The sequence below is a fragment of the Homo sapiens genome, chromosome 22 (genome assembly GCF_000001405.40).
Source record: "Homo sapiens chromosome 22, GRCh38.p14 Primary Assembly".
In the NCBI taxonomy this organism is placed as follows: Eukaryota; Metazoa; Chordata; class Mammalia; order Primates; family Hominidae; genus Homo; species Homo sapiens.
In genome coordinates, this window is record NC_000022.11 from 46978286 (window position 1) to 46992164 (window position 13879).

The following is a 13879-nucleotide window of genomic DNA, read 5'->3' on the forward strand; positions in this document are numbered from 1 at the left end:
CTTGATAACTGCCATGTTGGAAATTCAAATAGAGAAAATTAAAAATATTTAGTAATTTATTTAACAACAACAATGAAAATCCCATTACATATTATTATAAGTAACATTTTTATGATAGATTACTATTTTTCGAAACAAAAATGTTTAGTGAGAAGAAAGGCATTGTTTTACATTTTTGTAAATCTCCTTAATGTCTAACTTAATAGAAGAATTCTTGTATCTACTTCTACATTCAATTTGTTGTGGTATTTTTTGTTTTAGCTGAAGAATGTGAAGAAAATCCAGCATTACATAGATACATAGTTGGAAAAGGAAGCGTGTTTTTTGTTTGTTTGTTTGTTTGTTTTTTGGAGATGAAGTCTCCTCCAGGCTGGAGGGCAGTGGTGCGATCTCAGTTCACTGCAACCTCCGCCTCCCAGGTTCAAGCGATTCTCCGCCTCAGCCTCCCGAGTAGCTGGAATTACAGGCACACGCCACCATGCCCGGGTAATTTTTGTATTTTTGTTAGAGACAGGGTTTCACTGTGTTGGCCAGGCTGGTCTCAAACTCCTGACCTCAAGTGATCTGCCCGCCTCAGCCTCCCAAAGTGCTGCGATTACAGGTATGAGCCACCGCGCCCGGCCAGGAAGTGTTTTAATAGCCTTTTCAGGTAATTTTGGATTCTTTTTTCATTCATACTATACTATTACTCAACAAATGGTAGTTTCTTAAAGGGTAGTTGTGATATGAAATCTGAAACCTCATCAGTGAATGTTTTACACTCAGTTACATTAAAGTTGGTGGCCTATCTTGCACTTTGATAGGATCTTTTACCCATATATTGGCTCTGTAACATCATTCATTGGCGATTTGGAAAATATTGGCTGACTGAGGTGTGCAGATCTTTTAAATGTTGATAAGTTTCATCGTATGATCAAATTTGTTAGTATATTACCACCGTCTCATAAGAAGCAGCTGTCAGGCCCAGGGTGGCAGATAAAAGTCTTCCAAAATTCAGATTTTTAATTTAAAAGCTCAGATATTATCATTGGCAACAAACACAGTTCCTTGTTTCTTTTGAAGTGACAGGCCAACTTCATTCATTTTTGAGAAAATATCTTCCAGAGACCCGCGTTTGAATAACTGATTTGTCTGCTAGTCCTTCTTTCATGTAAACGTGATGTTTCTTGAAGAAAGTGTTCGGTTCAGCTCACAGCTGAAGCCAGCGCACCAAGTGCTCTCCTTGACGACGCTTCTGTTTCTGGATTTGCCCCTCAGGCTTTCCGTGTTCTTCCACGTGTTGGTCAGGGCTGAGCCTGAGCGCAGTGTTAATAGTAAGATGAGTGACCTTTCCTGCCGTATCCAGGGCGTCCTGAAGTGAAACAGCCTTTTGCTTTCACACCATGAGCGTGTGGTATTGGGAACACAGTGACGGTTGAGTGTGGTGAGGGCACTGCCCTGCCTGCTGCCAGCATGCCCGCAATTTTACCCACCACTGCCTGTGTACTGCCAGCACAAATGTCAGCACCGTGAGGAAGGTGAATCATGCCTTCATGTTACTATGACAGCAGTTTCAATATAACAGACCCCTTGAAAGGTCTAGGGACCCCCAGGAGTTGGCTGGCTACCGTCTGAGAACTTCTGCCCAGGAGGGATGATCTCCTGCCACAGGCCTGTGGCATTCCCATGGGAAGAGGCATCTGCAGATGACCTCACAGCAGACGAAGTACAAACCAAGCAGAGAAGGAGTGCGCCGGGAATAAATGTTAGCGATTGCTCTCGTTAGGAGGATTTGTACCCAGAGACCTGAGACACTAGAACAGCGATTTGAAAGGAACCAGACAATGTGTAACTTTAAAATATTAAGGAGAATGAAACAGTTTAAAATAAAGACTCTGAAGAAAGAACTCACAGATTTATTTATATTTATTTATTTGAGATGGAGTCTCGCTCTGTTGCACAGGTCGGAGTACAGTGGTGTGATACTGGCTCACTGCAACCTCCATCTCCCGGGTTCAAGTGATTCTCCTGTCTCAGCCTCCTGAGTGGCTAGGACTACAGGTGCCCACCACCACACCCAGCTAATTTTTGTATTTTTAGTAGAGACGGGGTTTCACCATGTTGGCCAGGATGGTCTCGATCTCTTGACCTTGTGATCCCCCTGCCTTGGCCTCCCAAAGTGCTGGGATTACCCAGGTGTGAGCCACTGTGCCCGGCTAGAAATCACAGATTTTAAATGGAACCAAACAGAACTTCTAGCATCGAAATTAGAGTCACTGAAATTTAAAACTCATTAGACAAAAGAGAAGAGAGAGTTAGTTAGAATTGAATGTAGTGCTGAGAAAATTACCAACTGGGCAACACAGAGAGATACTGAAAATATGGGCAGATTAAGACATGGAAAGATAGAATTTAAAAAATAGAACTAGAAAGAGAAATGTACTAGAGGAAAGCCAATATTTGTAAAGCTGTGGCTGGGAATTTTTCAGCATTGATGAGATGTTGTTACTAATATCTAATAAATCTCCAGAAAGATGAGTTGAAACTAATTACCTATGGAGACATGAGAGTGAAGCCACTGAATAAGAAAGAGAAGAGAAAGTCTCATAGGAAAGAAGAAAGGCCAGAAAAAAGTAGAATAATGTGTCTCATGTTCTGAAGAAAAATAGCTCTCCAATGAGATTAGATTTAAAAACAGAATCCAGCTATATGCTACTTACAAGACACCGAAACCACAAGGAGACAGGTAGAAAGGAAATGCAACAGAAGAATATTAACCAAAGTAATAGTTAGGTAGCTCTGTAGCCCATATGTAGCTGTGTAATAGCCGTGGAGCTATTAAATGAGATAGATTTTTAAGGCAGAAAGCATTCCTAGAGACAAAGAGTATCACTGCCAGTGGATACATTTACCAGGGAAGAGTTAATCTTGAATGCATGACCTTGACCCTGTATTTCTGCACATGTACATAAGTATGATGGGAGAGGGGTGGTGGTTGTCAATGCCTGACATGGTCCTGAGTGCTTCGTTGTAATATTAGTTCATTTTCCCTCACAGCAACCATAAGGCACTTCCAATTTTGTGGCTAGTTAGTTGCAGCATTGGGGTTTAGACCCACACAGTCCAGTACCAGCTTTCCTGCCTCTCAGTGATTAGTAGGTGATACGGTTAGGCTTTGTGTCCCCACCCAAATCTCACCTTGAATTGTAATCTCCATAATCCCCCACATGTCAAGGCAGAGACCAGGTGGAGCTGATTGGATCATGGGGGCGGTCTCCCCCATTCTGTTCTCTTGATAGTGAGTGAGTTCTCTTGAGATCTGACTGTTTTATAAGGGGCTCTTCCCCCACTTTGCTCAGTACTTCTCCTCCCTGCTGCCCTGCAAAGAACGTGCCTCTTCCTCTTTGTCTTCCACCATGATTCTGAGTTTCCTGAGGCCTCCCCAGCCATGCTGAACTGTGAGTCAGTTAAACCTCTTGTCTTTATGAGTTGCCCAGTCTCGGGCAGTTCTTTATAGCAGTATGAAAGTGGACTAATACAGTAGATCGAGCAGATAAGAATTAGGAAGATCTGGGAGGACGTGTACTGCACAGTTTGGGCAAATGGACATACCTAGACCCCCATATCCAGCACACAGAGAATATTCATTCTTTTCCAGTGTGCACAGAAGATCTGTAAGAATGGCAATACCAGCAGTTACTAGGGAGCCAGATAGACCAAGGTCTGGGTGGGGGATTAGCAGATTGAGAAGAGCATTCTAGACTAAGCTGGGACTCCATGGTGTGGGATCACTCAGAGTGCTTAGGGAGCAGGAGTGTGGGCTGGAGCTTGAGGCTGGGAAGCTGGGTTGATGTTTGACAGCTCTGGAAAGTCTGTCCTTGTGGCCTGCACCAGGTACTTGGGCCTGATCACTCATCTCTGGTGGATTGATGCCCTTCCTGCTAAGTGTTTAAGAGACAGTCTTTTTTTTTTTTTTTTGAGATGGAGTCTTACTCTGTCACCAGGCTGGAGTGCAGTGGCATGATCTTGGCACACTGCAACCTCTGCCTCCCGGGTTCAAGCAATTCTCCTGCCTCAGCTTCCCGAGTAGCTGGGACTACAGGCACCCGCCTCCACGCCCGGCTAATTTTTATATTTTTAGTAGAGACGGGGTTTCACCATGTTGGCCAGGATGGTGTTGATCTCCTGGCCTCATGATCCACCCGCCTCGGCCTCCCAAAGTGCTGGGATTACAGGCGTGAGCCACTGCGCCCGGCCAAGAGACAGTCTTTTTAGTCAGGGGCATTTGGTGTTGGGGGAAAAGGCAAAACAGCTACATTTCCAGATGTGCTGGTCTTAGGGGAGATGGTCTGTCCAGCGAGTAATGCCTGGAAAGCCACTGCTGGCCTACCGGTCGTGTGAACAACGAATCGATGTCATTGGCACTGCCCTGAGGGACGTCTAAGCTTGTGGAGGGATGTGGGATGTATTTGGATGAAGGAGGGGATTCAGGAGCCTAAACTAGGTGGTGGCGGGACAGGCATTGGCGGGCAGGTGCAAGAGCACTGAGGGCAGCTGTAGACCTTGTTGGCCATGCAGAGCAAGTGCCCAGTGTGGAGCGGTGGCAGCGGTGGGGCGCCCTCCTGCCTCATTAGGGCTGCTTAGAAATGTCTGGGGTGCTTTTCAGTGGTTGCTGTCACTGGGAGATGCCGCTGCGTGGACAGCTCCGCCTGGGAAGAACCTTTGTGGCACCGCAGTAAGAAGCATTATGTAGGAATGCTGCACTTGTAGTCATCGGGTCTGGGCTCAACATTTTCCACCTGCGTGACCGTGTTAGTGACTCCAGTTGGATGGGTTCATCTTGAGAGTGAATGAGGTTGTGAGACAAGTCCTGTATTTTGTGGTGCAATGGGTGGCTTGGATCTGGCACGGCAGACCATCTGGTCAGAGGTTTCCACAGTGCAGGAGGGTGCCCAGGCTGGCTTGTGGGCAGACAGCTGTGAGGTGGGGCAGGGGTGGGTTTCCCTCAAGGTGGGACACCACTAAGTGCAGGAGTGATGACCTTGAGCCTCCCATTTAAGCGTCATGGGGACTAATCCTCAATGTTGAGGACAGAATTTCTGTGTTTTCTTCCTGAGTTGTGTGGTAGCTTTGATTGTAAGTACTTTTAAAAATTCAGATAAGTTTAATTTGGAGAAATAATTTCTTTCTTGTCTTTATTTTTCACTTTCTTTCCTGATTGGGCTTTCTGCCCATTTGCCTGAGTTTCACTCTGTGTGTGTCTTGTTCTCTGGGTGATGTGAGTTGGGTGGGTGTGCACAGGTTGACCGTGTGTGGGTTTCCGGGGTTCTGGCTTTCTGGAGTAACCTGGGATGTGAGGTTGGAGGGAGGGTCCTTTGTGGCTCCCCCAACCAGCTGGCAGAGTAGCTGGTGCCAGAATGAGAAGACCAGGTTTTTTTTTTTTTTATATTTTATTTTTTTTCTACCAAGTGCACTATGAAGGTTCCAGCCAGATACTTAATTAAAAAAAAAATAATTTGGTGGGCTGTTTCTTTCAGTGGTTTCATGGATGTGTCCTTTTAATGCTATTTGGTATTAGTAGCTATGTTTCGGGGATGATTTTTAGTGTAGATCACAGAAACACACCTGGGCCGATTCCAGCTGAGGGAACACTTCTTTAAGAAGGATTGCTTTAACACAGCATGTTGGCTTCGGGGCCTGAAGATAACTGGCTTTGAGTGTGTGCTTTCTGGGCAGTGGAAGCTGCTGACCTAGTGCTATTTCAGCCCCTCCCTCTCTCTGGGGGTTTAAACTTGGTATCCAGTGAGAAGTTCCAGGCTGGGCTGGGCACGGTGGCTCATGCCTGTAATCCCAGCACTTTGGGAGGCCGAAGTGGGTGGATCACCTGAGGTCAGGAGTTCAAGACCAGCCTGGCCAACATGGTAAAACCCTGTCTCTATTAAAAATACAAAAATTAGCCGGGCATGGTGGCGCGCGCCTGTAATCCCATCTACTTGGGAGGCTGAGGCAGGAGAATTGCTTGAACCTGGGAGACAGAGGTTGCAGTGAGCCGAGATCGAGCCACTGCCCTCCAGCCGGGGCGACAGAACCAGACTCCATCTCAAAAAAAAAAAAAAAAAAAAAAAAAAAAAAAAAAAAAAAAGAGAAGTTCCAGGCTGGATGAGGCCCTCTCAGGCTTTTAGGGGATTATTCTTGCACTTTTGCCAGTCTTTTCATTTCACTAACAGCACTCATGCCAAGGTTGTCGGTTCGCTATTACTTCTTGAATTACAGCTTCCATATTTGCCTACCCTGAAGTCATACTGCTACTCTTAGGTTCACTACTGAACAGGACAATTTCTTTGAGTAGAAAAGAACCATTGCCTTTTATAATTAGTCATTTACATTTCCTTTCCTTGGGGAAGAATTATTGAATTCCAAGAACTGTTTGGTGGCATGGAGGTAATAGGAATATTGGGGAAAGTGACTAAATTATCTCAGAACTTGTCAGAGAAAAGGCCAGAAACGCAGTGGCGTCATGACTCCTTTAGAGAAAGGTCAGGAAACGGCCAGGCCCATGACTCGGGGTGGAGTGGACTCTGCCTGTGAGCAGGTATTGCCCTTCAGGTGGGGCTGGCGTGAGTTGACCATTGATGTTAATACCAGGGAGGCGACAGGGTAGTTGGGGGAAGCCCTGTCCTGCACACTAAGCTGGGGAGATGTGTGGCTTCTTACAGTGCTTGCTCCCAGAGGGGGCCAGCCAAAGGCAGTTGAGGGGGGAGCCTCCGCCATGAGTTCAGGAGCCTCTGCCATGAGCTCAGGCAGCTGGAACTTAGAATGGACTAAGCCCCGGGGATGTTGTTATCTGAAAGAGAATAACAAAGGAAGGACTGGTCTGATGCCCAGGAAGTTGGCAGAGAGAAAGCGCACTCCAGCTGAGCTCTGATTTGGCATTTGTTGTATACGTCAAGAAGCAGAGTCTTCACCTGGACGGGGCAGTGGAGCGCTTGGTGGAGGCCTGGGGTGGGGGAATGAATGCCTGGAGCGCCGAGTCCGTTTAGATGTGTCAAATCCACACCTGCCCCAGATGCCGGCTCAACTGTGCCCCTGTGGGGAAGAATCTCAGATACATGATTTCAGAGCCCCAGTCAATAAAATTGAGGACTCCTGCCAAGATTTTAGAAAGGTTTATTAAACAGAAAAGAATGTGTTAGTCACTGGGCTCTGACAGAAGGTTCATTAAGAATGAATCATTGAGCAGCAAGCAATTTAAAAATGAAAATTAAAAAATTCAATTTACAGTAGCTTTGAAAACCCTAAGAATCCGTGTCGTTGCCTGAATGAATAGTTGATTCCTTTTAATTACTAAGTAATACTCCACCGTGTGAATCTATCACAGTTTATCCATCCTCCTGTTGGTGGCAGCCGAGGCTGTTTCTGGTCTTGGGCTGTTGTGAATAACATTTCTGTGAACACTCATGTCCACATCTTCTTCTAGTGGCCTGTTAAGTTCTGGCTGTTCCACGTCAGAATGCGATTTCTCCAACACTGCGTTCCCCACAGGGTCTTCATTTATTCCGATTCTGATAGCAATCCTTTGTCAAGACAGATATTTTGAGAATGTTTGCTTCTGTGGCTTGTCACTTCATTTCATTAACAATGTCTTCTATGAGCCAACAGTTTCAACTTTGATAAAATCGAATTTATCATTTTTTTTCTTTTGTGGTAATAGTTTTCTGTGTCCTGCCTACCTCCACAATGCCAACATATACCCATGTTATGATTGATAATTTTAGTTTTTTGGTTTTAGGTCTACAACCTAGCTTGACTTAATTTCTGTATATGGTGTAAGGAAGATGTCAGGCTTCATTTTTTCCTCTACAGATATCCTGGTGAACATAATGCCATTTGTTGAAAACAGTTTTGTCCTATTTCACTTTTGCTGAAAATTAGATGATTGTATAGGTGTGTGTCTGTTTCGGGACACACTGTTTTGTCCCATTGACGTACAAATGGATCTTAATCCAGTTCACACTGTCTTCATTACTGCAGATTTTCATGGGTTGGGTAAGGCCAGTCCTCTTTGTTCTTTTAAAAAATTAAGTATTTTTGGTCCTTTGCATTTTTATATAAAGTTTGCTTTTGCCACTTCCTACAAAAAAAAAAAAAGCCTGTTGAGATTTTGAATGAGAATATGTGGAATTGTATGTCAGTTTCCCTCATACTGACAATATTAGCAATATTGAGTCTTCTTACCCGTGAGCGTAGTGTATTTCTTAATTTATTTAGATATTCTTTAATTTATCCTCACAAACATTTTGCAGTTTTTGGTATAGGGTTTTGCTCATACTTTGTCAAATTTGTTTCTGAATATTTTGTTTTTTTCTGACGTTCCTTCAAATGGCATAGCTTTGTTGGTATTTTTTGCTACTGATTTGTAGTAAATCAATTTTGGATTGATATGCTAGGGGTATATACAAATACAGTTGATTTTTGCAAGCGGACAGCTTTCCAGGGACTGCTGTAGCATAACAAATGACTCCCAAACCCTCTGACTGGAGGCAGCCATGCCTTTGTGCTCTCGGGCTCTGTGGGTCAGGATCTCTGTCAGGGCATGGTGTGGACGGCTGATTTGCGCACCATGATGTCTGGAATCTCAGGTGGTGGCTGGAAGCATCTAGACTCCCGTTCATTTAAGAGCCTGGCGCCCTGGGCCTACGTGACTCTAAGAGTAGGACTTTGGGTTGGATCGCCCACTCCTGGCCTCTCCACGCGCTGATTGTCCTCGTGGCATGGTGGCCTTGGGATAGTCAGACCTCTTGCTGGATGGTACAAGGCTCCCAGTGAGACTCTGTCCTCAAACAAGGTGGAAGCTGCATTTTTCATGACTGAGCCTCAGAAGTCACACACTGTACTCAGAAGTCATGCCCCCTGTACGCTTTTGGTGGAAGCAGTCACAAGTCTATTCTAATTCAAAGAGGGAGAAATTAGTCTCCATCTCTCGATGCCGGAGTGGCATTGGTCACCTCCTGAAAGAGCATGTGGGACAGGAGAGAATGTGGCCACTTTTGGAAAATACCCTACTTGTATCTAGTAATCTTGCTAGAGTCACTTATTATTGCTAGGAGCTTGTTAGTAGATGCCTTAGGATTTTCTGTACACGATGATGTTATCAGCAAATAAAGAGACTCTTCTTTCTTTGCAAGACAAATGGTTTTTATAGGTATACCTTGGAGATATTGCATGTTTGATTCCAAACCACCACAATAAAGCAACTATCCTAATAAAACTAGCCACACAAGTTTTTTGCTTTCTCAATGCATATAAAAGTTATATTATACTTTAATTTATTAACATACAATAGCATTGTATCTAAAAAGTGTACATACCGGAATTCAAAACTACTTTATTGCTAGAAAATGCGAATGATCATCTGAGCCTTCAGCAAGTTGTAATCTTTTTCCCAGCGGAGGGTGTTTTCTCGTCTTGACAGCTGCAGACTGATCAGGGTGGTGGTTGCCGAAGTTGGGGTGGCTGTGGCAATTTGTTAAATTAAGACAGCAATTTGAAGTTTGCCATGTCAGTGGAGTCTTCTTTTCCTGAAAGAGTTCCCTGTAGCTTGCAGAGCTACTCGATGGCATTTTATCCACAGTAGGACTTCTTTCAAAACCCCGGTCAGTTCTCCCAAGCCCTGCCACTGCTTTATCAACTAGGCTTATGGAGTGTTCTGAATCCTTTGTTGTCATTTCAACAATGTTCACAGCATCTTCATCAGGAATAGCTTCTGTCTCAAGAAACCACTTTCTTGGAGTCCAGTCATTCTGGGAAAAGAAAAGAAAAAAAAAAAGAAACCACTTTTTTTTCCTCATTTGTGAGAAGCACCTTCTCATCCATTTAAATTTTCCTGTGAGATTGCAGTAATTCAAGCACATTTTCAGACTGTTTCTAATTCTGTTGTCTATTTCCACCATATCTGTAGTTACTTCCTCCACTGAAGTATTGAACCCCTCAAAGTCATTCACGAATGTTAGAATCAACTTCTAACTTGCAGTTAATGTTGGTTTTTTGACCTCTTCCCATGAATCACAAATGTTCTTAATGGCATCTAGAAAAGCAGGTCCTTTCCACAGGGTTTTCAGTGGGCTTTGCCCAGTTCATCAGAGAAATCACTTCTATGGCAGCTATAGCCTTATCAAGTATATTTCTCAAATAATGACTTGAAAGTTGAAATAACTCCTTGATCCATGGTCTGCAGAACGAATATGGCATCAGCAGGCATGAACACAACTTTCATCTTCCTGCATGTCTCCATCAGAGCTCTTGGGGGACCAGGTGCATTGTCCATGAGCAGGAATATTTTGAACAAAATCTTTCTTTCTGAGCAGTAGGTCTCAACAGTGGGCTTCAAATACTTGGTAAACCCTGCTGTAAACAAATGTGCTGTCATCCAGGTTTTGTTGTTCCATTTATAGAGCACAGGCAGAGTACTGAGCATGCTTCTTAAGGGTCCTAGGATTTTCAGAATGGTAAATGAGCCTTGGCTTTAACTTAAAGTCACCAGCTGCTTTAGCCTCTAACAAGAGAGTCAGCTGGTCCTTCGAAGCTTTGAAGTGAGGCATTGACTCCTCCTCTCTAGCCATGAAAGTTGTAGATGGTGTCTTCTTCCAGTAGAAGGCTGTTTCATCTACATGGAAAATCTGTTGTTTAGAGTAGCCACCTTCGTCAGTTATCTTGGCTAGATCTTCTGGAGAACTTGCTACAGCTTCTCCATCAGCACTTGCTGCCTCACCTTGTACTTTTATGCTATGGAGACGGCTTCTTTCCTTAAACCTGATGAACTGACCTCTGCTAGCTTCCACCCTTTCTTCTGTAACTTCCTCACTTCTCTCAGCCTTCATAGAATTAAAGAGAATTAGGGTCTTGCTCTGGATTAGGCTTTGGCTTAGGAGAATGTGTAGCTGTTTGGATCTTCTATCCAGACCGCTGAAACTTTGTCCACATCAGCAAGAAGCCTGTTTTGCCTTCTTAACATTCGTGTGTTCACTGGAGTAACACTTTTAATTTCCTTCAAGAACTTTTCCTTTGCATTCACAACCTGGCTGTTTGGCAAAAAAAAAAGGCCTACTTTTGGCTTGTCTCAGCTTTTTGCATGCCTTCCTCACCAAGCGTAATCTTTCTGGCTTTTGATTTAAAGTGAGAGAATGTGCGACTCTTTCTTTATTTGAACACTTGACTTAACCCATTGTAGGGTTCTTACTTGGCCTAATATCAATCTTGTTGTGTCTCAGAAAATAGGAAGGCCCGAGGAGAGGGAGAGAGATGGGGAACTGCCGGTCAGCGGGGCAGTTGGAACACACACAAAACATTTATTAAGTTTGCTGTCTTAAATGGCATGGTTTGTGGTACCCTAAAACAATTATGATAGTAACATCAAAGATCACTCATCACAGATCCCCATAAAAGATCATAATGAAAAAGTTTGAAATATTAAGAGAATTGCCAAAATGTGACAGAGTCACACACACACACACACACACACACACAATAAATAAATATATATATATTATTTTTTATTTTTTGACAGAGTCTCACTGTGTTGCCCGGGCTGGAGTGCAGTGATGCGATCTCAGCTCACTGCAACCTCTGTCTCCCAGGCTTAAGTGATTCTCCCACCGCAGTCTCCTGAGAAGCTGGAACTGTAGGTGCTTGCCACCACACCTGGATAATTTTTATATTTTTGGGTAGAGATGGGGTTTTGCCATGTTTTCCAGACTGGTCTTGAACTCCTGGGCTCAAGCGAGCTGCCCATGTTGGCCTCCCAAAGTGCTGGGATTACAGATGTGCGCCACCGCGCCCGGCCGCAAAATGTAAGTTTTATTTAAAATGAACTCTTATAGATAGTTTATTCTTGCAACTTGCTTTCTTAACTTTTTAGTGTATGTTTAGACCACATATATATTCATCTAATCTGTCCAACCTAATTATTTATACGGTTGGGGTTTAGGTTGCCATTTTCCTATTTACTTTCATCTTTTCTTATTTGTTCTTTTTTCCCTACCTTCTTTGGATGAATTGATTATTTTTTTCAATTAATGGAGTTTGGTTTTTTTAGAGCAGTTTTAGCTTTCCAGAAAAATTGAGCAGGAGGTTAGAGAGGCCCCATGTGCTCCTCAGCGTCCTCCTTCAGCCCCAGCCTCCCTGTGATTAGTATCTCACATCACTGACTTCAGTGTGGCATATGTGTTACAATTGAGGAGCCAATATCGATACATTATTGTCAACTAAAGTCCACAGTTTACACCAGTTGTAGGCCGTGGGTTTTGAAAGGTGTGCAGTGACATGAGTCCACCAAGAAAGTGTCGCACAGTGTCGTCCCCTGCCCTGAACACCCTCGTGCCCCGCCTGTTCATCCCCTTCCACCCAACCCCTGGGCTTTTTACTGTCTCCATAGTTTCACCTTTGCCAGAATGTGACTTAGTTGAAATCCTGCAGTTGGAACCTTTTCATCCCACTGCTCCTGCTGCGGTGGCTTCTCTCCCCGTTGGCTTGCTGGCTGTCTCCCTCCCGCGCCGGCGTTCGTGACGGCTCTGCTCCTCGCCGTGTGCGTCTGGAAGTGACCATGGATGGCCTCCTCCTGCTGGTGTGCCGCTTTACTCTGCTGGTTGGCCCGTGTCTGAAGACAAGGGACAGTCACGTTTCCAGTGGTTTACAGAGGCACTGGTTCCTCTGGCCTGGCTGGGTTGGGAGCCTTCAGCCTTAAACCACTGTTTGATGGCTGACACATCATGGAAGGTGCGGAATTAGGGGGAGGTTGGGTTTGCACTCTATATGGGCATTGTCTTAGGTTCTTTTAGACACAGTAACTCAGTACCGCCTGTGCCCTTGTGATGGAGCCCTTCCTCTCTCCATTTCACAGATGGGAACACAGAAGATCAGAGAAATGAACCTGGCAGGTAGGAAAGCAGGGGGTTTGGTTAAACAAGGCTGCATAGAATCTGACACGTTTGTGCTCTGAGGGTGCTTTCTGAGAACATGCTGCCGAGCCCCGTCCTTGGCCCTGCCCTTCCCTCCTCTTGGCAGAGACTGTAGTGAAGACGTCAAGGGGATCCGTTTAACCAGTGCCTCTCAGCTGGGAGGGATAGCGAATGTGATAGATGGCACAATCAAGATTCAGAATGGGTTCAGCTGCCTGCAGTGCCAGCCGGGAACCAATCAAATGAATGAGCTAATAGGAACAAATGGCAAGTCCTACGTTCAGGTGCATGAGCCGAGCAGTCAGCTCAGCAGAAGGCAGTGTGGACAGTTGGGGTTCACTTTGTCTTCCGTGGGAAGCGCGTGTAGTCACTTTGCCTGGATTACGGCAGTTGCCTCGTGAATGATACCCCTCCATCCTCATTTGGCTCATTCCATTGTTTCTACATCATCTTTCCGTGGTGCAAATCTCTTACCTGCAGTGGCCTCCATTTGCATTTCATTACCTGCGTTTGAGAGCATTGCCTGGGTCTCACCGCTGACTCCGACGTGGCCTTCCAGCCTCGGAACGGTCTCCTCTTGCCTCAGCCGCAGCTTGCTCGCTGCCCTCCAGCTGCCCTGGCCTCCATTTCATTTCTGGGATGTGACATGCTCCCTCGGGCCGCCGGGGCTCTGCTGCATGGTGCCTGAACCCTCTCTCTCATCTCTGCTCAGACCTCACACCCTCCAAGTGGTCTTCCAGGACCAGCCCTGGTTCTGTGCTATGATGGTGTGGCCACCCAGGTCCTCGTTAGCAGTCAATGTGCACTTGCCTGGCGAGTGATGAACATTGGCTCAGCTGTCAGACTGTCATCCCTGTGAACAGAAGGGTCCTGTCTGCCTGTCCACTTTTCTCCCTGTCTGTGTCAGGGGATCCCAAGACGACCCCACAGAGCCACACTCGTGGCTG

The 13879-nt window shown here is 45.1% G+C and overlaps 1 protein-coding gene across 15 annotated transcripts in view, besides 1 other annotated feature; it reads left to right on the forward strand.

The window, feature by feature from the left end:
• Positions 1–13879, forward strand: part of TBC1D22A (TBC1 domain family member 22A) — a 413050-nt gene that overhangs the window by 215636 nt on the left and 183535 nt on the right. For 3 of the 15 annotated variants that reach the window (XM_017028742.3, XM_047441306.1, XM_047441307.1), the window contains exon 10: positions 11730–11825. In XM_017028742.3, the coding sequence (XP_016884231.1) occupies positions 11730–11825 (96 nt within the window). 15 annotated transcript variants of the gene reach the window in all.
• Positions 4694–5194: an enhancer, noted in NCBI's record as "H3K4me1 hESC enhancer chr22:47378875-47379375 (GRCh37/hg19 assembly coordinates)". NCBI's record gives its function as "activates a minimal SCP1, AML or CMV promoter by ChIP-STARR-seq in naive H9 embryonic stem cells {active_cell/tissue: H9 hESC(naive)}" and the evidence as "EXISTENCE:reporter gene assay evidence [ECO:0000049][PMID:30033119]".